This window comes from Homo sapiens, chromosome Y, assembly GCF_000001405.40.
Source record: "Homo sapiens chromosome Y, GRCh38.p14 Primary Assembly".
NCBI classification, from domain to species: domain Eukaryota; kingdom Metazoa; phylum Chordata; class Mammalia; order Primates; family Hominidae; genus Homo; species Homo sapiens.
This window is the reverse complement of record NC_000024.10, coordinates 437,276-462,810: the sequence shown is the minus strand read 5'-3', so window position 1 is coordinate 462,810 and position 25,535 is coordinate 437,276. Positions and strand designations below refer to the sequence as shown.

The window sequence follows — 25,535 nt, the reverse complement described above, 5'->3', positions numbered from 1 at the left end:
GTTCACTGACATGCATGCACACACACAGACATGCAGGCGAATGCACACACAGGTACACAGATACACAGAAACATGTACACACATACGTACAAGGCACACCCACATTCACACAGACACACACATACAGACACATTTGCACACACACACACATATACAGGCAGATGCACGCACAGACACACAGATACACAGAAACGTACACACGTACGTACATAGGCATATGTACACTCACACAGACACACATATATGAACACATGTGCACACAGACACATATACAGGCATATGCATGCACAGACATACAGAAACATGTACACATATACGTGCATAGGCATGCCCACCTCACGCAAATACACACACATGAATGCCACTCACACGCATACACACAGAGACACACAGGCATATGCATGCACAGACATGCAGAAACATGTACACACATGTCCATAGGCACATTCACACACTCAAGACACAGGCGTATACGCAGACACACAGAAACATGCACACACACACGTGCATAGGCATGCCCACACTCACACACACATCCACTCACATGCACGCACACACACATGCAAGCATATGCACACAGAAACATGTGCACACATATGTGCATAGGCATGTCCACACTGAGACACGCACATACACTCCCACGCATGCACTCAGACACGCATACAGGTGCATGCATGCACAGACATGCAGAAACACATACACACATAGGTGCATAGGCACACGTCCACCCTCACACTAACATACACACACACTCACACGCATGCACACAGAGACACACAGGCATATGCATGCACAGACATGCAGAAACATGTATACACATGTCCATAGGCACATTCACACACTCAAGACACAGGCGTATACAGACACACAGAAACATGCACACACACACGTGCATAGGCATGCCCACACTCACACACACATCCACTCACATGCATGCACACACACATGCAAGCATATGCACACAGAAACATGTGCACACATATGTGCATAGGCATGCCCACACTGAGACACGCACATACACTCCCACGCATGCACTCAGACACGCATACAGGTGCATGCATGCACAGACATGCAGAAACACATACACACATAGGTGCATAGGCACACGTCCACCCTCACACTAACATACACACACACGCATGCACACAGACACACATGGGCGTATGCACACACAGAAACATGCACACACACACGTGCATAGGCACGCTCACACTCAGACACACACACATACACTCACATGCATGCACACAGACACACATACAGGTGCATGCATGCACACATACATACACACATGGACACACATAGACACATGCTGACGCCACACACAGATGCACACACACGGGCGCGTGCGCACACACGGACACACACAGAGGCACGCAGACACCACACACACATGTGGACACACGTGCACACACACACGCGGACACGCTCACGCTGCATGGAGGCCGTCCAGCCTGCCCTTCCCGCAAACACCTGACATGCCCTTGCTGGAGTAAAAAATACAGATGCAAATGACTCTTTTACAGGGGGGTTAGCGCATCATTTCTCCCCACTCTGCATCTTGCGTGTGTGACGGGGCACGGGGCGGCAGCCGGGGCCGGGGGTCGGCCAGGACGGTGCTGGGTGAACCAGGGCTCCCCCCACCGCAGCCTCCGTGTGGACCGGTCGTCGACATGATGTGTCATAATTTGGCCTCCGAAGCTGACAGGCCCGGCTGACTGGGGGCATTAAATCATTGCCCCGAGGGACTCTCACTCTGGCAACGCGCGCTGGTACGGCTGTCATCTCCTCCCACACAGTACCTATCATTTTTGACATGATTGGATCAAAATTAGTCAGTGCATTTAGATGTAAATTACACACATCCAAGAATCGTAATGAGCACGAAAAAAAAAAAGAAATACAGCCCTGTAGAGTTGACACGGCCCACGGCTTCCATCCGTCCTGCACCGCGTCCCCGGCTGATGAGCCCCCTGATAATGAAACTGGCGTATCAAAAAAAAGTCAGGAAACTTTTTTGAGGGGCATATTTAACCGAGCCTTAAATTCCCATATAAGTCTGTAATGTTGGCTCACCCAGAAGTCCCCGCTTTACCCAACGGCTCCCAACACAGAGAGAGACATAGCTGGTCTCTCCTGAAGCGTGGCTCAGCCCTGGCACGGCTCTCACCTCTGCTCACGTATCTCGGGCCTTTTCTCCCCATTCCCCCTGGATTCCTTCCTAATGCAGAATTCTCTTCCGAGGCACAAGGAGACACTGTCCACCTGGGCTTGTGACCCGGGCATTCTCGGGGTCAGCTTTGCCGGGATAGGGCAGGGGGCCACTGCTATCTTTCTCTGCAGGCTGGACGGCTTCAATGGGGGAGCTGAAATTATCTACTCAATGCCTACTTCCTCCTGGAATTGGGACTCAGCTGCCAGAAAACCTTCCCGAAACAGTCCCTCTAACGCTGAGGACCTTCCAGGTCCAGCCAGCCTCATACTCCAGGCCAAATGTCTCCCGCCGGCTCCAGATACACACAGGTTTGGGGTCAGGACCTCGTACTAACCCTCCTCAGCCAACCCACAGCTTTGAGAGCTGGTTTCTAACAACTGCATTATTTAAGCCGGCTCATGAACGACGGCGTTATTTCAGCACCAAACTAGCCTACTTTGCCTGTAACTGGTTTTACATTTGTTTTTTTTAAACATGGCCACACACACACACAAAAGAAGGGGAGAAACGCTTCTGAACACATACCTTTAAATATTCCTTAATCAGACACGCTTGATAAAACTGACAGGGCTGTCCAGAGGGCAGACACAAAACTCTTTCTCCTGCAAACCGTGGAAATCTTGGTGCGTAGAAACAGCTCTCCCCGCTCATGCGGGAAAACCTCACTTCAATTTGACATCCGGAGGTAACGACGGGGCACCTGCGTGCATCCCCAGCTCAGCCTTTCCACGGGGCCAGGCGGGCTTGAATTGAGTTAGGTAATTAGTGTGTGTTTGGCCTGTCACCCGTGTTTAGGGCAATAGCCTGGTGCATGAAGCCGTCATTAAACATCTCGGGCTGTGATGACCGCGTGTGTGGGGAAATTCTGGGGCCGGCAGGCGGAGAGGGGTGTCCCAAGGCAGGCCAGGGCTGGAGGGTATATAGAACCACCGTGGCAGCCAGGCTCTGGGAGCTCTCCGAGGTCTCTGAGACAAGATGATTACCGGAGCCAGAAGGTTAAACTGTCTTCACGCTTCCCCCAGCAGGTTGACAGCGTAAGGTAAAATACTTGTGTTTCACTGGAGCAATTCAAAACTCCGTCTACGATACACAGACAGAGCCCCCAACATCCAGGTTTTCACAGCAACGTAAAGAAATCCTGAAATAAAGCAAAAATGTACCTGAGCATTTTTTTTCTTTTCTTTTCTTGAGACGGAGTTTCGCTCTTGCTGCCCAGGCTGGGGTGCAATGGCGCAGTCTCGGCTCACTGAAACCTCCGCCTCCCGGGTTCAAGCCATTCTCCTGCCTCAGCCTCCCGAGTAGCTGGGATTACAGGCACCTGCCACCACGCCCAGCTGATTTTAGTATTTTTAGTAGAGACGGGGGTTCACCGTGTTAGCCAGGCTGGTCTTGAACTCCCGACCTCAGGTGATCTGCCCACCTCTGCCTCCCAAAGTCCTGGGATTACAGGCATGAGCCAACGCGCCTGGCCTATTTTTTGAATTATTATTTTATTTTTAAGACAGGGTCTGGCTCTGTTGCCCAGGCTGGAGTGCAGTAGCTCAATCATGGCTCACTGCAGCCTCGGACGCCTGGACTCAGGCGATCCTCCCTCCTCGGACTTCCCAGTGTCTGGGACTACAGACGTGAGCCACCACGCCTGACTAATTTTTTTTTTATTTTGTGTAGAAATCGGGGTCTTGCTATGTTGCCCAGGCTGGTCTTAAACTCCTTGGCGTCAAGCAATCCTCCCACCTTGGCCTCTCAAAATGCTAGGATTGCAGGATTGCAGGCGTGAGCCACCGGCCCGGCCGCCCTTGGCCATTTCTGACCTCCGAGCTGAAGGACTCAGTATATTTGAAATGCGGTGTTTGCGGCCAGGCGTGGTGGCTCGGGCAGGTAACCTGCGGTCAGGAGTTCGAGACCAGCCTGGCCAGCATGGTGCACAGATATGGCGTGCACCTGTAACCCCAGCTACTTTGGAGGTTGAGGCATGAGAATCACTTGAACCTGGGAGGCGGAGGTTGCAGTGAGCCGAGATAGTACCATTGCACTCCAGCCTGGGGGTACAAGAGCAAGACTCCTTCTCAAAAAAAAAAAAGAAAGAAAAGAAAACAGAAAGCAAAACCAGTGTCTTATTTTCTCCATGAAGGAATCCCGTACTTCCATATCAGTGCTAAAATCATAGGGGGCTTAAACCTATCGATGCCTAGCATTCCATTATTGGAACGCTAAGCATCTGGCAGTTATTTACCGCCTATTGTCAAAGTCATTGCCAAGGTCTGGTTTTTCACACATATCTGCAAATACAAGAAACTGCCACCTCCAGCATAAAACAGGACATCTTTGGGAAGCACGATGCCGGCCCTTCAGTTTCAACTCAGGACAAAATGAAGATTTTATTTTTTATTTTTAATTTTTGAGACGAATTTTCACACTTGTTGCCCAGGCTGGAGTGCAAAATCTCGGCTCACTGCAACCTCCGCCTCCCAGGTTCAAGCAACTATCCTGCCTCAGCCTCCCGAGTAGCTGGGATTACAGGCACCCGCCACCACGCCCAGCTAGTTTTTGTATTTTTAGTAGAGACGGGGTTTCACCATGTTGGCCAGGCTGGCCTCGAACTCCAGACCTCAGGTGATCGGTCCGCCTTGGCCTCCCACAGTGCTGGGATTACAGGTGTGAGCCACCGTGCCCAGCCCAAAACAAAGTTTTGAGACCTCTTCTCAGAAAAAGAAAATCATCCTGTTTGCAAACCATTGAATAGACAGGTAGATAACTGACTGATGGACAATTGATAGATATGATGAAAGATGATACATAGTTGATTTGATAGGTAAATAGATGATTGATAATTGATACAGATGATTGATGATTGATGCATAAATGATATAGATCAAGGATTGATGATTGATAGCTGATTGATAGGTATGATGGATAATTGATATAGATAGATGATTGATGATAGTTGATAGGTATGATGCATAATTGATATAGATGATAATTGATAAATAGTTGATTGATAGGTGTGATGGATAATTGATATAGATTGATAGGTAGTTGATTGATAGGTATGATGGATAATTCATATAGATAGATGATTGATGATAGTTGATAGGTATGATGCATAATTGATATAGATGATTGATAATTGACAAATAGTTGATTGATAGGTTTGATGGATAATTGATATAGATGATTGATGATTGATAGATAGCTGATCGAAAGGTGTGACGGATAATTGATATAGATTGATGATAGGTAGTTGATTGATAGATATGATGGATAATTCATATAGATAGATGGTTGATTGATAAGTATGATGGATAATTGATATAGATAGATGATTGATGATTGATAGGTATGACAGATAATTGATATAGATTGATGATTGATAGATGGTTGATTGATAGGTATGATGGATAATTGATATATGATTGACGATTGATAGCTGATTGATAGGTATGATGGATAATTCACACAGATAGATGATTGATGATATATGATTGATAGGTTTGATGGATAATTGATATAGATGCTTGATGATTGATGATTGTTAGTTGATTGATATGTATGATGGATAATTAGTATAGATAGATGATTGATGATAGATAGTTGATTGATAGGTATGATGGATAATTGATATAGACAGATGATTAATGATAGCTGATTGATAGGTATGACAGATAATTGATATAGACAGTTAATAGGTAGATAATTGACTGATAGATCACTGATAGGTGATAGATAGACAAACAGAGATTGTCTCAGCCTCAGGCAGTGTCTTTCAGCCCTGGTACTTCCGACACATGGGACTGGACGATTCTCTCTGGTGGGGCTGATCTGTGCACTGTAGGGTGTTGAGCAGTGTCCCTGGGCTTCACCCACCAGCGACCAGAAGCACCCTCACTCCACAATCCAGACAACCAAAAGTGTCCCCAGAGACTGACAAAGTGTCCTCAGAGGAGACAATCGGCAGCAGCTGAAAAGCACAGATTAGATAGATAGGTAGATAGATGATAGATAGATAATGGGTCAATAAATAGATCTGTAGATAGATGATAGATAGATAATAAAGATTGATGATAGATAATAGATAAAGGTAGATAGGCAGATCTAGATAAATAGGTAGATTGGTGGATGATAGATGATAGATTGATTGATTTATATATGATAGAGATAGATAGGTAATGGATGGGTAGATGATAGATGAATGATAGATGGATAGATAGATGATAGATAATAAAGATGGGTGATGGATGGATGAATGACAGATGATGGATAAATTGATTTATAGATGATAGAGATGATAGATGATGGATGGATGAATAGATAGATGTATGATAGATAATGGATAGATGGATAGATGGATGGATGGATGGATAGATGGATGGTTGGGAGAGAGAGAGATTATAGATAGATGATAGGTGGATAGATAGATAATAGATACATAGATAGATACATAGATAGATGATAGATAGATGATAGGTAGATAGATACATAGATACATAGATACATAGATAAATGATAGATGATAGGTGGGTAGATAGATAGATAGATAGATAGATAGATGCATAATAGATTGAGAGATTGATTGATTGATTGACAGATGATAGAGTCCCTCAGATAGTGTCTCTCAGCCTCACCTCTGCTGACATTTGGGGCTGGAGGATTCTCTGTGGTCACTGTAAGGTGGTGAGCAGCATCCCCGGGCTCCACAAACCAGGTGCCAGGAGCACCCCCCTCCCAGTTACCACACCCAGAACCGCCCCAGACAGTGCCGAGTGTCCGTCGGGGTGCATGTTCATCCCCAGTTGAGAACGGTCGCTCCCCAGTTCCCCCGGAAGCCATCCTCATTTCTAAAGTTCCAAGAACCTGGCCAGGCCGTTTCACCTCTCCACAAACATCTGACTTCTGCTCTGCTATATATTTAGAATCCTCTCCATTCATATTTATACCCACAGAGTCCTCTGCTGGCTGAACCCCTGGGCTCAATTTTTCAGCACGAAAAGAGCCTTTTTATTCCCATGGATTTTCACATGAAAACAGAGTGCATCGGATGGAGACGCACAATCCAAGAGGCAGCTCCACCGGCAAAAGGCCTGGAGAAAGTGCAGCTCCTGTGGGCTCCTGGGAACTCAAGGGCAGCAGGATGATGGGTGGGTACCACCGAGAGGAAAACTTCAGAGCAGGTGCAGAGGCTGACAGACGGCAGGTGCAGAGGCTGACAGACGGCAGCCTCCACCACAAACCAGAGCAGCATAAACAGACACAGTCTCAAGCCACAGCATGAGACATAAATAATGGCATTGCTTCCTTACCACAACACTCAGAGGCAGGCGCTATTTTCAGGTACATTTTTCCCGATGAGGAAATGAGGGGTTCATAGATGGTGAGAATTTCTCCTAATGCAATCCCTTCCACAGCCCCACAGCCCTCGACAGGCCCGGGTGTGTGATGTTCCCCTTCCTGTGTCCATGTGTTCTCATTGTTCAACTCCCACTTAGGAGTGAGAACATGCAGTGTTTGGTTTTCTGTTCCTGTGTGAGTTTGCTGAGAATGATGGATTCCAGATTCATCCATGTCCCTGCGAACGACATGAACTCATCCTTTTTGATGGCTGCATAGTATTCCATGGTGTCTATGTGCCACATTTTCTTTATCCAGTCTATCATTGATGGGTTGACTTGCTTAGAAAAACTTCCCTGTTGCCAAATACTGAGTGATGAAGAAAAACTCTGGGACTCATCTAGAAAGACGGTGAATTCAGAGAGCCGACATCATGGTGCACGCTAAGCAAAGACGACGGGCTTTGAAAACCTGCTGGGAATAGCAAAAGACTTGGGACCAACCCAAATGCCCATCAATGATAGACTGGATAAAGAAAATGTGGCACACAGACACCATGGAATACTATGCAGCCATGAAAAAGGGTGAGCTCCTGTCATTTGCAGGGACATGGACGAAGCTGGAAACCATCATTCTCAGCAAACTCACACAGGAACAGAAAACCAAACACCGCAAGTTCTTACTCCTAAGTGGGAGTTGAACAATGAGAGTATTTTTTTTAATCTTTATTTTTGCAGAGATGAGAAGCTAACTCTATTGCCCAGACTGGAGAGCTGTGGTACGATCTTGGCTCACTGCAGCCTCGACGTCCTGGGCTCAAGGAATGCTCCCACCTTAGTCTCCCCAGGAGCTGGGACTACAGGTGGAAACCACCACATCTACCTGATTTTTTTTTTTTTTTTTTTGAGACAGAGTCTCACTCTGTCGCCCAGGCTGGAGTGCAGTGGCGTGATCTCGGCTCACTGCAAGCTCTGCCTCCCGGGTTCACGCCACTCTCCTGCCTCAGCCTCCCGAGTAGCTGGGACTACAGGCGCCCGCCACCGCGCCCAGCTAATTTTTTGTATTTTTAGTAGAGACGGGGTTTCACCGTGTCAGCCAGGATGGTCTCGATCTCCTGACCTCATGATCTGCCCGCCTCGGCCTCCCAAGATATTTTTTTTATAGAGCTGGGGTCTTGCTATGTTGCCCAGACTGGTCTCAAACTCCTGGCTCCAGCGATCCTCCCACCTCAGCCTCCCAAAGTGCTGGGATTGCAGGCGTGAGCCACTGCACCCGGCCCCAAAGCACTTTTGGAAGGAATTTGAGGAGCAGATGCAGTAAGTGTCTCATGCATTATTTATTTTGCTTAGGAAGCATTTAAAATAATCCCCCTGCCAGGCACAGTGGCTCCCACTTGTAATCCCAGCACTTTAGGAGGCCGAGAAGGGAGGGAGGATCCCTTGAGCCCAGAAGTTTGAGATCAGTCTGAGCAACCTCATGACACCCCATCTCTACAATAAATTAATTAAATTAAATTAAATAATTCCCCAAGGTCCTCAGAACCACATTCAGTGATACACTTCCAAATACAACACATATAACTATGTATTTCTGTTATACATATAATAAAAGATATAACAAAGTCACATACAGTTGGTGCGGTTTGATCTAAACTATTCAAAGAAAAGTGACGTCACTGGGCACGGTGGCTCATGCCTGTAATCCCAGCACTTTGGGAGGCCGAGGCAGACAGATCACCTGTGGTCACTAGTTCAAGACCAGCCTGGCCAACACGGTGAGACCCCATCTCTACTAAAAATACAAAAATTAGCCAGGCGTGGTGGTGAGCACCTGTAGTCCCAGCTCCTCAAGAGGCGGAGGCAGGAGAATCACTTGAACCCAGGAGGTGGAGGTTGCAGTGAGCTGAGATCGTGCCACTGCACTCCAGCCTGGGTGACAGAGTGAGATTCCATCTTGAAAAAAAAAAAACCAGAAAAGTGACATCCTCACAATCTGTTGCTTCATTGGTGCAACCTCACCAGAGAGTTCTGAGGCCAGTGTGGACGCGGCTGCCATTTTTCTCTATATGATAGAGATAGACAGGGAATGGATGGATGGAGGGATGGATGGATGGATAAATACATACAGGATAGATAGATAAATAGACAGGTGATAGATAATAAAGATAGATGTGGGTGATTGATAGATGATGGATAAACTGATTGACTTACAGATGATAGAGATGATAAATAGAGGAGGGATGGTTGAGTAGATGCATGGATGGATAAATACATACAAGATGGATGAATAGATGGATAGATACATAGAAGACAGATAGATGATAGAATAGATGGATGGATGGATGGATAGATAAATACATGCAGGATAGATAGATGGATGAATAGATGATAGATAGATAATAGAATAGATGGATGGATGGATGAATACATACAAGATAGATGGATGAATAGGTGGATAGATACATAGATGATAGATAGATGATAGAATAGATGGATGGATGGATAGATAAATACATGCAGGATAGATGGATGAATAGATGGATAGATACATAGATGATAGATGATAGAATAGATGGATGATGGATAGATAAATACATGCAGGATAGATGGATGAATAGATGGATAGATACATAGATGAAGATAGATGATAGAATAGATGGATGGATGGATGGACAAATACATACAGGATAGATGGATGAATAGATGGATAGATACATAGATGACAGATAGATAGATAGATAGATAGATAGATAGATAGATAGATACATAGATAGATACATAGATAGATACATAGATAGATACATAGAATGGATAAATACACACAGGATAGATAGATGGATGACTAGATGGATAGATACATAGATGACAGATAGAATAGACGATGGATGGACGGATGAGAGAGAGATAGATGATAGATAGATAGATGATAGGTGGATAAATAGATAGATAATGGATAGACAGATAGATGATTGATTGATTGATTGACAGATGATAGATAGAGTCCCTCAGTCAGTGTCTCTCAGCCTCAGCTCTGCTGACATTTGGGGCTAGAGGATTCTCTGTGGCCAAACAGACCCCAGAGTGGTGTGTGGTGTGGTGTGGTTTAGACAAACGAGGCAGATGTTTTGAAATGCCAGCTTCCCTTGGTGCTCTGTGGACCCTCCATGGGCTTGTATTTAGTCCCAAATGGAGATCACGCCTGTCCCATTGAAGTGGCCTGTTCACATCACAGCTCCCCACCCTTCAGGAGGAATCAGACGCCCACCTTCGACCCATGGTGGGTACAATGTGAACTCCGTGTGCCTTGGGCCACCTTGTGGGCTGAGGTTGACGTGCACCTGTCATCCCAGCTACTCCGGAGGCTGAGGCAGGAGAATCACTTGAACTCGGGAGGCGGAGGTTGTAGTGAGCCGAGATCGTGCCACTGTACTCCAGCCTGGGCGACACAGCGAGACTCTGTCTCAAAAAAATGAAAAAAAAAATAAATAAAATAAAATGTCTATCCTAAATGAAATTTGCTGTGAGTATGGTGGGTACAGCTTGGGAAAATGAGTAGGTGTTTGGTGAAAAGGGAGGGGGGGAGGTCTCCCCTTTCTCTCAGCTGAGTGAAATCGAAGAGGAAAAAAATCTTAAAAGAAGGGGGAGGACTTGTAGGCTTATGCTAAAGTCCTGGAGTTGTAAAAGATAAAGGAAAGGGGACAGACAGGGTGGCTCACGCCTGTCATCCCAGCACTTTGGGAGGCCGAGGCAGGTGGATCACATGAGGTCAGGAGTTCGAGACCAGCCTGGCCAACATGGTGAAACCCCATCTCTACTAAAAATGCAAAATTAGCCAGGCGTGGTGGCAGGTGCCTGTACTCCCAGCTACTCAGGAGGCTGAGGCAGGAGAATCTCTTGAACCCGGGAGGCAGAAAATGCAGTGAGCCGAGATCACGCCATTGCACTCCACCCTGGGCAACAAGAGGAAAACTGTCTCAAAAAAAAAGAGTGGGCAGGACTTCTTGTTTTTTCGGGGGGCTTCTTGTTCTTGTTGTTTTCTGTTTTGAGACAGAGTCTCGCCCTGTCGCCCAGGCTGGAGTGCAGTGGTGCAATCCTAGCTCAGTACGGCCTCGGACTCCCGGGCTCAAAGGATCCTCCTGCCTCAGCCTCCCGAGTAGCTGGGACTACAGACCACCCCCCCCCCCCATCTACACCCGGCTAATTATTTTTTTTTTTATTTTTCTAGAAACAAAGTATCACTACGTCACTCTGTTGCTCAGGCTATAGTCTCAAACTTCTGGTCTCAAGCAATCCTCCGACCTCAGCCTCCCAAAGTGGTAGGATTACAGGCATGAGCCACCACGCCTGGCCAAATGTGTGTTTTTTTGAGCCACTCTGTGAACGGCCATTTGTTACACCTGCTGAAACAGCTTCGTAAGGGTGAGGCTTGTATTTCCAGAACACTATCTTGCTTGATCCTTGTAGCAAACCTACTACGGTATAGATGCCTTAGGCATATTTACAGATGTGTTGGCTGAGTGCAGTGGCTCACCCCCCTAATCCCAGCACTTCAGGAGTCTGAGGCGGGAGGATCAGTTGAGCCCAGGAGTTCGAGGCTGCAGTGAGCTATGATGACACCACAGAGCTTCAGCCTGGGAGACATAGCGAGACCCCATCTCTATCTGTTGGCTGAGTGCAGTGGCTCACCCCCCTAATCCCAGCACTTCAGGAGGCTGAGGTGGGAGGATCAGTTGAGCTCAGGAGTTCGAGGCTGCAGTGAGCTATGATGACACCACAGAGCTTCAGCCTGGGAGACATAGCGAGACCCCATCTCTATCTGTTGGCTGAGTGCAGTGGCTCACCCCCCTAATCCCAGCACTTCAGGAGGCTGAGGCGGGAGGATCAGTTGAGCCCAGGAGTTCGAGGCTACAGTGAGCTATGATGACACCACAGAGCTTCAGCCTGGGAGACATAGCGAGACCCCATCTCTATCTGTTGGCTGAGTGCAGTGGCTCACCCCCCTAACCCCAGCACTTCAGGAGGCTGAGGTGGGAGGATCAGTTGAGCCCAGGAGTTCGAGGCTACAGTGAGCTATGATGACACCACAGAGCTTCAGCCTGGGAGACATAGCGAGACCCCATCTCTATCTGTTGGCTGAGTGCAGTGGCTCACCCCCCTAATCCCAGCACTTCAGGAGGCTGAGGTGGGAGGATCAGTTGAGCTCAGGAGTTCGAGGCTGCAGTGAGCTATGATCACACCACAGAGCTTCAGCCTGGGAGACATAGTGAGACCCCATCTCTACCAAAAAAAATCATTTAGAAAAAAACAGCCAGGCATACTGGCACACACCTGTAGTCCAGCTACTCAGGAGGCTGAGGCAGGAGTATGGCTTGAGCCCAGGAGGCTGAGGCTGCAGTGAGCTGGGATCACATCCCTGCAGTCCATCCTGAGCGACAGAGCAAGACCCTGTCTCAAAACAAAAAATGCAAGGACCCTGATCACGTCACTGCACTTCAGCCTGGGCAACAGAGAAAAGCCTCATCTGTACTAAAAATAAAAATAACGGGCCGGGCGTGGCGGCTCACACCTGTCATCCCAGCACTTTGGGAGGCCGAGGTGGGTGGATCACAAGGTCAGGAGATCGAGACCATCCTGGCCAACACGGTGAAACCCCGTCTCTACTACTAAAAATACAAAAAATTAGCCGGGCGTGGTGGCGGGCGCCTGTAGTCCCAGCTACTCTGGAGGCCGAGGCAGGAGAATGGCGTGAACCCGGGAGGCGGAGCTTGCAGTGAGCCGAGATTGCGCCACTGCACTCCAGCCTGGGCGACAGAGAGAGACTCTGTCTCGAAAATAAATTAATTAATTAATTAAAATTAAAATTAAAATTAAAATTAAATTAAATTAAAATTAAATTAAATTAAAATTAAATTAAAATTAAATTAAAATTAAATTAAATTAAATTAAAATTTAAAAAGCCAGACATCTTGTCTTGGGCCACCTGTCTGAGCTTGGAACCCAGGAGGGATACTCCCCACGGTGTACACCCGTGAAGCCCCCTCTCAACACCGATCCCTTTGCTGAATACAAAAGGCTCTTCATTTCCAGAGTATAAAGTAGATCTCTCTTGAATTTCTAGATATCCTCAGACAATAACAACCAATCATTAGAGGTGGCCCCACAGCCTTGCTCCCCAGTAGGGTGGAAGGCAGAGGCGCTCAGAGGCACCCCCAGCTCGGGGGCGAGTCACCTATGACCACAATTGCCATCATTAGTGAGCTGGGCTCAGCTCCTCAGAAGCTGGAAAGCACGCTCGCAAACACCCTTTGATCATTTCTATTTCTAGGCCTTGAGTGATTCAATAAAACATACCTCTAAATTCAGATCCTTTCTGCGATGCCCTGTTTCGACTTTGAAGTTAAATTATCTAAAAGGAGTAACTGCCTAAGTTTTCTAGGCAAACTTCTCCATACTCGCGGCTTTTTCGTGGGAACTGCACTCACTGAAAGCAAGGTAATGTTCCTGCAAAATAGTATAAAGAGGCCGGTCGGGTGCTACGGTTCGTGCCTGTAATCCCAGCACTTTGGGAGGCTGAGGTGGAAGGATTGCTTGAGCCCAGCAATTGGAGAGCACCCGGAGCAACATAGCAAAACCCCAGGTCTATAAAAAATAATTTTTTGGCCAGGAGCAGTGGCTCACACCTGTAATCCCAGCACTTTGGGAGGCTGAGGCGGGTGGATCACCTGAGGTCAGGAGTTCGAGACCAGCCTGGCCAACATGGAGAAACCCCATCTCTACTAAAAACACAAAAATTAGCTGAGCGTGGTGATGGGTGCCTGTCATCCCAGCTATTCAGGAGGCTAAGGCAGCAGAATCGCTTGAACCCAGGAGGCAGAGGTTGCACTGAGCCAAGATTATGCCATTGCACTCCAGCCTGTGCAACAGAGTAAGATTCTGTCTCAAAAAAAAAAAAAAAAAAAAAACCAGAAAGAAAATTAGCTGGGCATGGTGGCGGGCACCTGTAATCCCAGCTACTCAGGAGGCAGAGGCAGGAGAATCACTTAAACCCAGGAGGCAGAGGTTGCAGTGAGCTGAGATCACACCACTGCACTCCAGCCTGGGCGACAGAGCAAGACTCCATCTCAAAAAAAAAAAAAAAGAAAAAAGAAAAAAGAAAATTAGTCTGGCATGGTGGGCACCTGTAATCTCAGCTACTCAGGAGGCTGAGGCAGGAGAATCACTTAAACCCAGGAGGTGGAGGTTGCAGTGAGCCGAGATCTCACCATTGCACTCCAGCCTGGGCGACAGAGCAAGACTCCATCTCAAAAAAAGAAAATTAGCCTGGCATGGTGGGCACCTGTAATCTCAGCTACTTGGGAGGCTGAGGCAGGAGAATCACTTGACCTCAGGAGGCGGAGATTGCAGTGAGCTGAGATCGTGCCACTGCACTCCAGCCTGGGCAACAGAGCGAGACTCCATCTCAAAAAAAAGAAAGAAAGAAAGAAAAAAGAAAAGAAAATTAGCTGAGTGTGGTGGGGGGTGCCCGTAATCCCAGCTACTCAGGAGGCTGAGGCAGGAGAATCGCTTGAACCCAGGAGGTGGAGGTTGCACTGAGCCGAGATTACACCGTTGCACTCCAGGCTGGCTGACAGAGCGAGACTCTTTCTAAAAAAAAAAAAAAAAAAAAAAAAGCCTATTCCCATCATATACGAAATGTGTAGAACAGGCAAACCCATAGAGACAGAAGGAAGATTTTGAGTTGCCTGGGAATGGGGAGGGAAAATGGGCAGTTCTTCTCCTGGCTCTGTTTTTGAGGGATGACAATATTCTGGTATTATGTAGATGATATGCTACCACAACAAGGTGAATTCAGTAAATACCAACAAATCCTTCTGCTTGAAAGGGTTGCTGGCTGCGTTGCCTCACCTGTGTAATTGCAGCACTTTGGGAGGCCGAGGCAGGAGGATCGCTTGAGACCAGGAGTACAAGATGGGCCTGGGCAACACAGTGAGACCCTGTCTCTACCAAGAAAATAGTAATAATACAAAAATTAGCCAGGCATGGTGGGGCATGCCCACGGTCTCACCTACTCAGGAGGCTGAGGCAGGAGGATCACCTGAGCCCAGGACATTGAGGCTGCAGTGAGCTGTGATTGCACCAGTGCACCCTAGCCTGGGCAGCAGAGCGAGACCCTGTCTCAAAATAAATACATAAGTAATAAAAATAAAATGGTTGATTGCATGTTTCGTGAAACTCACCTCAATTAAAAAAAAAAAAAAACTTAAAACAGAGTTCAGAGGCCAGGCATGGTGTCTCACGCCTATAATCCCAGCACTTTAGGAGGCCGAGGCAGGTGGATCACCTGAGATCAGGAGATCGAGACCAGCCTGGCCAACACGGCAAAACCACATCTCTATTTAAAAAATAAAAAAAATTAGCCAGGCGTGGTGGCCGGTGCCTGTAGTCTCAGCTACTCGGGAGGCTGAGGCAGTAGAATCGAACCCAGGAGTCGGAGGTTGCAGTGAGCCTAGGGTGCACCACTGCACTCCAGCCTGGACGACAGAGCGAGACTCCCTGTCAAAAAAAAAAAACAAAAAACAAAAAAACAAACAAACAAAAAAACCGAAAAACCCAGAGTCCACCGTGACTCTCACAGTCAGGACTGAGCCAGGAAGAATGGGATCAGGGTGTGGTATTCCTAGCCCTCGCCAGGCCATCCCCAAGGCTGCTGTCTGCAGAAATGGAAGTCACCCCCCGTAGCGCGTGAACTCAGAGCACTTTCAGCCAACAGCGCAGAAATCGCGGAAACAAAGGGAAAAAGAAAAGCCCTTTTTGAATATTTTGAATAAACAAAGGGAAAAAGAAAAGCCCCTTTTGGATATTTTGAATACAACTTGGGGTCTCCTGCTGCCTCGGCCATGCTGTGAACATAAATAAATCAACGCGGGGGTGTGTTGCATCCATTGGGATTGTCCCAAAAGCACAGAAAGAATCAGAAGACAGTGGCCTTTCTCAAGCATTAATATTTCACCAGGCTCAGGACCTCCCTGGATTACAAATTAACAGTAATCAGGTCCCAGGAGCTCTGCCCTCTCCCCACCCAAATCCATCATCGTTTTCCTGAAAAGCGTTTTTGTTTTGTTTTCTTTTTGCTGATTTGCTGATTTCACACCACCCTATCCCATGTAAAACTCCCTTCTTTTCTGAAAATGAGATTTTTATAATATAAATCAGAAGTGCTCGGTAAAAGAGGGTGTGAGCCCCACGCTGAGTCCCTGACTCCCCCAGCTACTCCCTCTCCAAACAGAGCCATTGATGGGGAAGCTTTGCCCTTTGACGCCCTTGAGATCATCGTGCTGTCCTGAGCGTCTGTCAACCCCAAATCCGGGGGAGGGCTCCAGCTAATTACAGATAGGCCCATCAAGGGTCGGGGCCCAGGTCTTCACATCCTCCACATTAATGCCCTCTTCTGACCTCCTTCCAACTCTGACAAAATATCTTCTCTGGCTGGAAAGTTCTGGGGCTTTCTATCAGGCTGCGAAGTTTGAAGCAAATTGGACAAGCCATTTTTGACTTACGAGGCCGTGAAAAATTAATATGTTTCTGAGTTCTGCGAAAGTGTCCAAACTTTTTCTGCTCATAACTCAAAAAAAAAAAAAAAAAAAGGAGGAGAAACTCATCTTTGGGGAGTTTTCTAACTTGCCCTGCACTCAGTCAAAAGAAAAGGGTTTTATTCCGTTTGCGTTGTGTTGTTTTGCTGTTTTGTTATTTTGCAGAGTTGGAAGGTATATCACGGAGATCCTGGTGGTGGGAATATTCTATGGTAAGGGTGTTCTCCCATAATGATATTAATTATAATTTAGCAGGTGTTTGAAGAACAACGGTCAGTATACACTGAATGTCGTGTTCCCCCGACAAATTGCTATGTTGAATCCCTAACCGCTAAGGTGATGGTGTTAGGAAGTAGAGTTTTGGAAGGTGATGAGATTGTGAGGATGAAGCCTCATGAATGGGATTAGTGCCTTTATAAAAATTACAGACCCCAGGCCTGTAATCCCAGCACTTTGGGAGGCCGAGGCTGGCAGATCACAAAGTCAAGAGATCGAGACCAGCCTGGCCAACAATGGTGAAACCCTGTCTCTCCTAAAAATACAAAAATTAGCCAGGCGTGGTGGTGGACACCTGTAATCCCAGCTACTTGGGAGGCTGAGGCAGGAGAATCCCTTGAATGCGGGTGGCAGAGGTTGCAGTGAGCTGAGATCGCACCACTGCACTCCAGCCTGGCAACAGAGCAAAATTCCATCTAAAAAAGGAAAAAAAAAAAAAAAAGGAGTGGGGGACCCCAGGCCAGGCACGGTGGCTCATGCCTGTAATCCCAGCATTTTGGGAGGCCAAGGCAGGAGGATCACCTGAGGTCAGGAGTTCGAGACCAGCTTGGCCAACATGGTGAAACCCCATATGTACTAAAAATACAAGAATTAGCCAGGCTTGGTGGTGGACACCTATAATCCCAGCTACTTGGGAGGCTGAGGCGGGAGAGTCAGTTGAACCCAGGAGGCAGAGGTTGCAGCGAGCCAAGATCGTGCCATCGCACTCCAGCCTGGGGTACAAGAGCATAACTCCATCTCAAAAAAAGGGGGGACCTCAGAGAGCTCCCTCACCCCTTTCACCATATGAGGACACAGCCTGATGGCACCGTCTATGAATGAGCAAACAGGTCCCCATCAAACACAAAATCTACCACGCCTTGATCTGGGACTTTCCCCACCAAACACCAAATCTACCACGCGTTGATCTGAGACTTCCCAGCCTCTAGAGCTGTGAGCAGTAAATTCTTATTGTTTCTAAGCCATGCAGTCTATGGCATTCTGCCATATCAACACCAAGGGAGTAAGACAGCTGCCACCAGGTCTATGAGATTCTAGCTTCTATTTAGCAAAGGCTCAATGAAACCAGAAGAGAGGAAGATGTGTCCTGCTTTTCAATCCATGCCCCCTGCACTGTGAACCCAGTCACAATTCTTTCCTCTTACCCACACGTGGCCAATAGTTGGTCCTCTCTGTGGCTGTCCTGCCTCTGATTTGTGTCCACAGTGAACCCACCTCAAGGTTGCAACAAATCTCCTCTTCCTCTCCCACTGGCTGATCCTGTTGGTCATCGTGAAATGTTTCCTGAGGTTCCCAAAGCTCGCCCCACCCCAAACCGAGGGCACTTTCTTCCTGATGCCTGAGTTCCTCATGCTCCTTCCATGAACACGTGAGATGGGGAAGCTGAATCATCGTGCTGGGACTCGGAGCCTTGTCATTTTGGGGTCATTCCTGCCTCACACGTCTCAGTGGGAACCAGCGTCACCTCCCTCTTTGGCATCCTGGAGCCTCATACATTCTCTATCCCCCCCATCCTGGCATCCAGGGAGCTGGACTTTCTGCCCAGCACTTGGAACCTTGAGAGAATAAAGGAAATCAGCTGCAGGACAGAAATTCCTCATGACCACAGCAACATCTCCAGAGCCCAGAGGCAGCTTGGAGAGTCCTCCCCGACCACCTTCCTCCCTTGGGTTCTGCCCTGTTGTCTGAGTCTCCATCTTTGGGTTCCCTGCCAAGACTATAAATTCCCCTAATGTTTTTCCCATGAATTCCTTCCCTGGCTAAGCTATTGAGGTCTTCTCTGATCCTCTCATGTCCTTTTCCTTGTTCTCCTTAGACCTCGTCCACCTCCACTCCTTCTATATCCCACCCGTGTGTGGAGCATCTGCAGGGACACTCCGACTCCTAGGTTGCTTCCTCTGCAAGATCTGGGGTGATATTTTCAGCTGCCTGAATAACTCCTCCACGTGCAGCCTTGATGATTGAAGATAAGGTTATGCCACCTCCCAAAGAACAGGTCAAAGACTTGGTAGGACATTCAGATTGTCTCGTTATCTGCTGCACTTCTAATTACAAATCAGAGACCGATCCATCTTATCTGCAGGTTTAAAATGAAGCTACTTCTGCACATCACTTTGTGGTCAGACGGAGGGGAACTCTCCACTTTTAAATTCAAAGTTGAATTGAATGAACGAATGAATGAATGAATGAATGAGTACTTGATGGAGACTTTCTCACCTCCCTGGCTGAGAAAAACTCCAACATCCACTCCAAACATGCAAGCAACTAAGTAAATAAGTACATTTCTGGTGGGGCTATCTGTTTGCTCTCCAAAGAAAGCAAACTCAGCCGAGCATGGTGGCTCATGCCTGTCATCTCAGCATTTTGGGAGGCCAAGGCGGGAGGATCACCTGAGGTCAGGGGTTCAAGACCAGCCTGGCCAACATGGTAAAAACCCGTCTCTACTAAAAATACAAAAATCAGCCGGGTGTGGTGGCAGACACCTGTAGTCCCAGCTATTCAGGAGGCTGAGGCAGGAGAATCACTTGAACCCAGAAGGCAGAGGTTGCAGTGTGGTGTGGTGGCGGGTGTCTGTAATCCCAGCTACTTGGGAGACTGAGGCAGGAGAATCGCTTGAACCCCAGAGGTGGAGGTTGCAGTGAGCCGAGATTGCGCCATTGCACGCCAGCCTGAGCGACAAGGGTGAAACTCTATCTGAAAAATAAAATAAAATAAAATGGAAAGCAAACTCTCCCTTCTCTGCATGGAAATAAACTTATCTTCTCCTTTTTGTTGCTTCTGAAAAATGAGACAAAATGAAGAGAAGAGAATGATATATTGTGATGTGAAAACACACACACACACATACACAAATGTCTCTCTTTGCTCTGCACCAATTACTAAATGAAAGCCAGTTTAGTGAATGTTTAAACTTCTCCACCCTAGAGGTTGAGCTCTCTGGGTATAGAAACCTCTCACTATGTTTCAGCTCCTCTGTCTCAAAAAAAACCCAAAAGATAGATGGATAGATAGATGATAGATGGATGGATGGATTAGATGGATGGATGGATAGACAGATAGATAGATAGACAGACAAACAGACAGACAGACAGACAGACAGACAGATAGATAGAATTGCCGGGCACGGTGGCTCATGCCTATAATCCCAGCACTTGGGCAGGTTGACGCGGGTGGATCACGAGGTCAGGAGATTGAGACCATCCTGGCCAACATGGTGAAACCCCGTCTCTACTAAAAATATAAAAATCAGCCAGGTGTGGTGGCAGGTGCCTGTAGTCCCAGCTACTCAGGAGGCTGAGGCAGGAGAATCACTTGAACCCAGAAGGCAGAGGTTGCAGTGAGCCAAGATCACACCACTGCACTCCAGCCTGGGCGACAGAGTGAGACTCAGTCTCAAAAAGAAAGAAAGAAAGAAAGAAAATCTACAGCAAAGTACCACAAACCACAGGGCTTAAACAACAGACATTGATTTCTCACACACATGAAGACTGGAGGTCCAAGATCAAAGTAGCAACATCTCAGCTCCTGGTGAGGACTCCCTTCCTGGCTTGCAGACGGCAACCTTCTTGCTGTGTCATTCCATGGTGCGGGGTGGAGAGAAAGAGACAGAGAGAGAGACAGAGAGAGAGGAAGCTCTGGTGTCCCTTTTATGGGGATACTAATCCCATTCGTGAGACTCTACCATCACGACCTCCTCACCTCCCAAAGACCCCCCACTAGTAACACTCTGACCTTGGGGTTCAGGGTTTCAACGTAGGACTTGGCAGGACAAAGCATTCATTCGGTCTGCAGAAAAAGATCCACAAAGCCCCTTTGGAACCTGGACTGGGACACAGCCGTGCATCTGGGGAGGCTCCACCTCCCAGGTTCAAGCGATTCTCCTGCCTCAGCCTCCCAAGTAGGTGGGACTACAGGTGCCCGCCACCATACCCCGCTAATTTTTTGTATTCTTAGTAGAGATGGAGTTTTACCACGTTGGCCAAGATGGTCTCGATCTCCTGACCTCATGATCCACTCACCTCGGCCTCCCAAAGTGCTGGGATGCCAGGCGTGAGCCACCGCGCCCGGCCAACCACAGATTTTTTCCAAAGACTGAAACCAACAAACAAAAAAAATCACCAAAATTCACAAAAGTATGTCTGTTACAACTTCACACTCACCTTTCATACTTTTCATTTTCATTATAAAACATTGACGAGTCGCTTTTTCTGCCTCCAACAAGCAGTAGAAACACAACAAAATACCACGAAAAGTCCACATGCGTCTACTATGAAAGCAGGAACATCTAACAACCTAAGGGCCCCTTTGTACACGAAAAAAGGCAAAAATTAACATTTCACGCTAGACCAGGACAGCACAAAGGGAATATGGCCTGGGGCCTTCATCTCTTCATCCTCACGAATTACCATGTGTGGTTGGAGACATATGTGTGGTTTGTCTGCCTCACGTGGGTGTCTGTAAAGAAACGTCTGTCCCTGCGTCCAGGGCCCCTTTGAGCCTCACGCCTCTCCCCCCTGCACAGGTAGCTCCACGGAGCCTTGTGGAATCAGCCGAGGCCGGACGTGTGGTTTATGAGGCCTCCAGGGCCCTCAGGGTCGGCCTGCAGCCTGGGCTGGACGATCGCTGAGTAACATTTGCAGCAGCAGCAGCAGCCTGAGGAAGGGGTCAATGTTTGCCACGCAGATGTGTATGTCTGTGTGTGGGTGTGTGTGTGTACAGGTGTGCGTGCATGGGCCTGTGTATGTGTGTGTCTGTGCAGGTGTGTATGAATGTCTGTGTGTATATGTCTGTGTGTGGGTGTGAATGTATGTGTACAAGCGTGTGTGTGCACCTGTGTGTGCGTGGGTGTGTATCTGTGTGTGTATGAATGTGTGTGTGTACAGATGTGTATGTCTGTGTGTAGGTGTGAATGTATGTGTACAGGCGTGTATGTGCACCTGTGTGGGGGGGGTGTGTCTGTGTGTGTGTGTGTACAGGTGTGTATGTCTGTGTGTAGGTGTGAATGTATGTGTACAGGCATGTGTGTGCACCTGTGTGTGGGGGGTGTGTCTGTGTGTGCATGTGAATGTATGTGTACAGGTGTGTGTGTGCATGTGCCTCTGTGTGTGTGTGTGCAGGTGTGTCTGTATATGTCTGTGGGTGTGAACGTGTACAGGCGTGTGTACCCGTGTGTGTGTGCATGTGTGTATGAATGTGTGTGTACAGGTGTGTGTCTGTGTGTAGGTGTGAATGTATGTGTACAGGCGTGTGTGTGCACCTGTGTGTGTGGGGGGCTGTGTCTGTGTGTGCATGTGAATGTATGTGTACAGGTGTGTGTGTGCATGTGCCTCTGTGTGTGTGTGTGCAGGTGTGTCTGTGTATATGTCTGTGGGTGTGAACGTGTACAGGCGTGTGTACCCGTGTGTGTGTGCGTGTATGAATGTGTGTGTACAGGTGTGTATGTCTGTGTGTGGGTGTGAATGGATGTGTACAGGCGTGTGTGTGCACCTGTGTTCAGGTGTATATGAATGTGTGTGTCCTGGTGTGTACGTGTGGGGTTGTGAATGTGTGTGTACAGGAGTGTGTGCGCCTGTGTGTGGTGCAGGTGTGTATGAATGTGTGTGTGGGTGCGTATGTCTGTGTGTGGGTGTGAATGTATGTGTATAGGAGTGTGTGTACGTGTGTGTGTGTGCAGGTGTGTATGAATGTATGTCTGTGTGTTGGTGTGAATGTGTGTGTACAGATGTGTGTGTAGGTGCGTACGAATGCATATGTGTGTCTGGGTGTGAATGTATGTGTACAGGCATCTGTGTGCCTGTGTGTGTGTGGGTGTGTATGTCTGTCTCTGTGTGCACAGGCCAGGGAAGCTCACACACAAACAGCTGTCTTCTTTGATTCATCTCTGCCCCCACCCTGGTGCGTTGTGCAGAGTTCATTGCACCCCCAAAATACTCAGTGCCCCGGCGTGAACCCTGAGTGGCCCAGCCTGGGCAGGTGCATGTCTCCAACCCGCCGTGTGGAACCCGCCACACTCCTGAAGGAAACGGTCTTCCCAGCTGAGCAGGCTTGAACCTGCTGCCCTAGAGTCCTGGGTCTTCCTATTGGGCTCCTTTCCAGGGTACCTCCTGGGGTCTCTGCACCCTCCTCCAACACCAGCTCTGGGGTCTGTGTGAAGGTCATAAAAACACCAACCCTCCCAGCACTTTGGGAGGCCGAGGTGGGTGGATCACCTGAGGTCAGGAGTTCGAGACCAGCCTGGCCAACACGGTGAAACCCCGTCTCTACTACAAATACAAAATTAGCCCGGTGCGGTGGCAGGTGCTTGTAATCCCAGCTATTCGGGAGGCTGAGGCAGGAGAATGACTTGGATCCAGGAGGCGGAGGTTGCAGTGAGCTGAGATCACGCCACTGCACTCCAGCCTGGGCAACAGAGTGAGACTCTGTCTCAAAAAAACAAAACAAATCAAAAACGCCAGCCCACCCAGGCAATGCCTGTTGCGCACCCAGGACTCTGCATTCCAGGCACCAGAGGCAGGAAGCTTGACCGAGCTGGCCAGGAGAGAAGCAAAGCTGCCCGTGTCGACCTGTCCTTCACTGCGGGAATGCAGGTGCTCAGGTACGCCACCGTTTGTCCCCAGCTTCCTGGCCAGCCGCGGGAACCCCCTGCTGCTCCCTTTCTTGGGGACAGTGATGGGGACCGGGTGCTTTTGCTCCCCTGAGACTGTGACTGTGTTTTGAAGCTGCCGCCAGGATGCCAGCGGCTCCGTCCCAGCAAACAGGCCACATAGCCGGGCGCGGTGGCTCACGCCTGTCATCCCAGCACTTTGGGAGGCCGAGGCGGGCTGATCCGGAGGTCAGGAGTTCGAGACCAGCCTGGCCAACATGGTGAAACCCCGTCTCTACTAAAAATACAAAAAATTAGCTGGGCGTGGCGGCGGGCGCCTGTAGTCCCAGCTACTCGGGAGGCTGAGGCAGGAGAATGGCTTGAACCCGGGAGGTGGAGGTTGCAGTGAGCCGAGATCACACCCCTGCACTCCAGCCTGGGCAACAGAGCGAGACTCCATCTCAAAAACTAAAAATAAAAATAAAAAAAACAGGCCACATGTGTGCACAGTGAGGCTCTCCAAGCCCATCGCTGTCCCAGGAAATGTTAACAGCTCCCCGAGCTCTGCTCCTCATCCAGGACCCCAGACCGACTTCTCCTCGACAGCCCTGGGACAGACACGACCGCGGCCTCCTCCTCCCCCTCCTCCCCTCTCCGCCTCTTCGGCAGAGGCCCCCACGTCCGCACGATCGGGAACAAACATCCTTTCTGATTCAGCATCACGTTACCTGCCAGTCCTGTGGCCTTTCCTCATCTGGTTGCACGTACCTCATATGCTTTGTGGTTAAATTATGCATTAAGGTCAATGTCAAAACACAGCAGCCCCGTAACCTGCAGGGAACTGGCTTTTACTCGTGATCACGGTGAAACGGGGGCCGCCTGTCAGCCAGCCGGGGTGGGCGCCCAGCGTGGGGGGCCCCCGTGCCGTGGCGTTGTCTACAAAGGCGGCCCGTCGTCTCCCAGGACGCACCCTTGATGGATTTACCCAGACAACGCGCCTCTCTTGAAAGGCGTCTGCCCTGCCTCTTCCATCTGAAACCTGTCAGCCTCACCTATAGACTCACGTCGGAAATCAAACAGCAGAGGCTGCGCGTGCCTGGGACGCTCCACGTGTCATGTCCTGACTTGTAGTTTCAGATCTTCTAAAGGAAAACGGTGTCAGAAGAAGGAAGGCCGGGAGGAGTGTGCTGTTCCGTGTTTGCTTTATCTTTTTTTACCCCTTAAAAAAAATAAAAATAAAAAAAAAATAAAAAGTTGCCGCATATTCCGGAAGCCGCCGTGGGCCTCGTGGTAGATGAAGCACGTCGGGGTGTTGAAGGAGGCGGCTCTGGGAGTGGGTGGGGGGTGGCGGGGGGTGGCGGGCCCCGGGGAGCTGCGGGAACCTCCTGGAAACTGCAGGAATTTGTGCAGGACGTATATTGATTGTGACTCTTGGGGGTTTTTCTTTCCTTTCTTTGGTTTCATTTCCTCCTTCCCTCCCTCCCTTCCTTCCTTCCCTGTCTCTGTCTCTGTCTGTGTCTCTGTCTCTCTGTCTCTCTGTTTCTCTG

The 25,535-nt window shown here is 48.5% G+C and overlaps 1 long non-coding RNA gene across 2 annotated transcripts in view, besides 7 other annotated features; it reads right to left on the bottom strand.

The window, feature by feature from the left end:
• LOC102724521 (uncharacterized) overlaps window positions 1-25,535 on the bottom strand; it is a 42,736-nt gene that overhangs the window by 9,946 nt on the left and 7,255 nt on the right. Inside the window, exons 4-7 of one of the 2 annotated variants that reach the window (XR_001756015.2) lie at window positions 25,041-25,207; window positions 21,425-21,497; window positions 20,887-21,191; window positions 2,741-3,353 (exon numbers count right to left, since the gene is read on the bottom strand). This is a non-coding gene — a long non-coding RNA (uncharacterized LOC102724521). Of the gene's footprint in view, window positions 1-2,740; window positions 3,354-19,414; window positions 20,100-20,886; window positions 21,192-21,424; window positions 21,498-25,040; window positions 25,208-25,535 lie in introns of those variants that run through there. The other variant, XR_007068454.1, reaches the window with a different exon arrangement.
• Window positions 16,099-16,630: an enhancer, noted in NCBI's record as "OCT4-NANOG hESC enhancer chrY:356916-357447 (GRCh37/hg19 assembly coordinates)". NCBI's record gives its function as "activates a minimal SCP1, AML or CMV promoter by ChIP-STARR-seq in naive H9 embryonic stem cells {active_cell/tissue: H9 hESC(naive)}" and the evidence as "EXISTENCE:reporter gene assay evidence [ECO:0000049][PMID:30033119]".
• Window positions 16,099-16,937: a biological region, named in NCBI's record as "OCT4-NANOG hESC enhancers GRCh37_chrX:406609-407442 and GRCh37_chrY:356916-357447".
• Window positions 16,104-16,937: an enhancer, noted in NCBI's record as "OCT4-NANOG hESC enhancer chrX:406609-407442 (GRCh37/hg19 assembly coordinates)". NCBI's record gives its function as "activates a minimal SCP1, AML or CMV promoter by ChIP-STARR-seq in naive H9 embryonic stem cells {active_cell/tissue: H9 hESC(naive)}" and the evidence as "EXISTENCE:reporter gene assay evidence [ECO:0000049][PMID:30033119]".
• Window positions 24,596-25,189: an enhancer, noted in NCBI's record as "CNE-5 PCR-amplified reporter construct fragment". NCBI's record gives its function as "enhancer in human U2OS osteosarcoma cells" and the evidence as "EXISTENCE:reporter gene assay evidence [ECO:0000049][PMID:26631348]".
• Window positions 24,639-25,189: an enhancer, noted in NCBI's record as "CNE-5 PCR-amplified reporter construct fragment". NCBI's record gives its function as "enhancer in ovo in chicken limb buds" and the evidence as "EXISTENCE:reporter gene assay evidence [ECO:0000049][PMID:19997128]".
• Window positions 24,738-24,900: a conserved region, noted in NCBI's record as "conserved region; CRCNE00011082 more deeply conserved sub-region". NCBI's record gives the evidence for it as "EXISTENCE:sequence alignment evidence [ECO:0000200][PMID:21731768]".
• Window positions 24,941-25,062: a conserved region, noted in NCBI's record as "conserved region; CRCNE00011074 more deeply conserved sub-region". NCBI's record gives the evidence for it as "EXISTENCE:sequence alignment evidence [ECO:0000200][PMID:21731768]".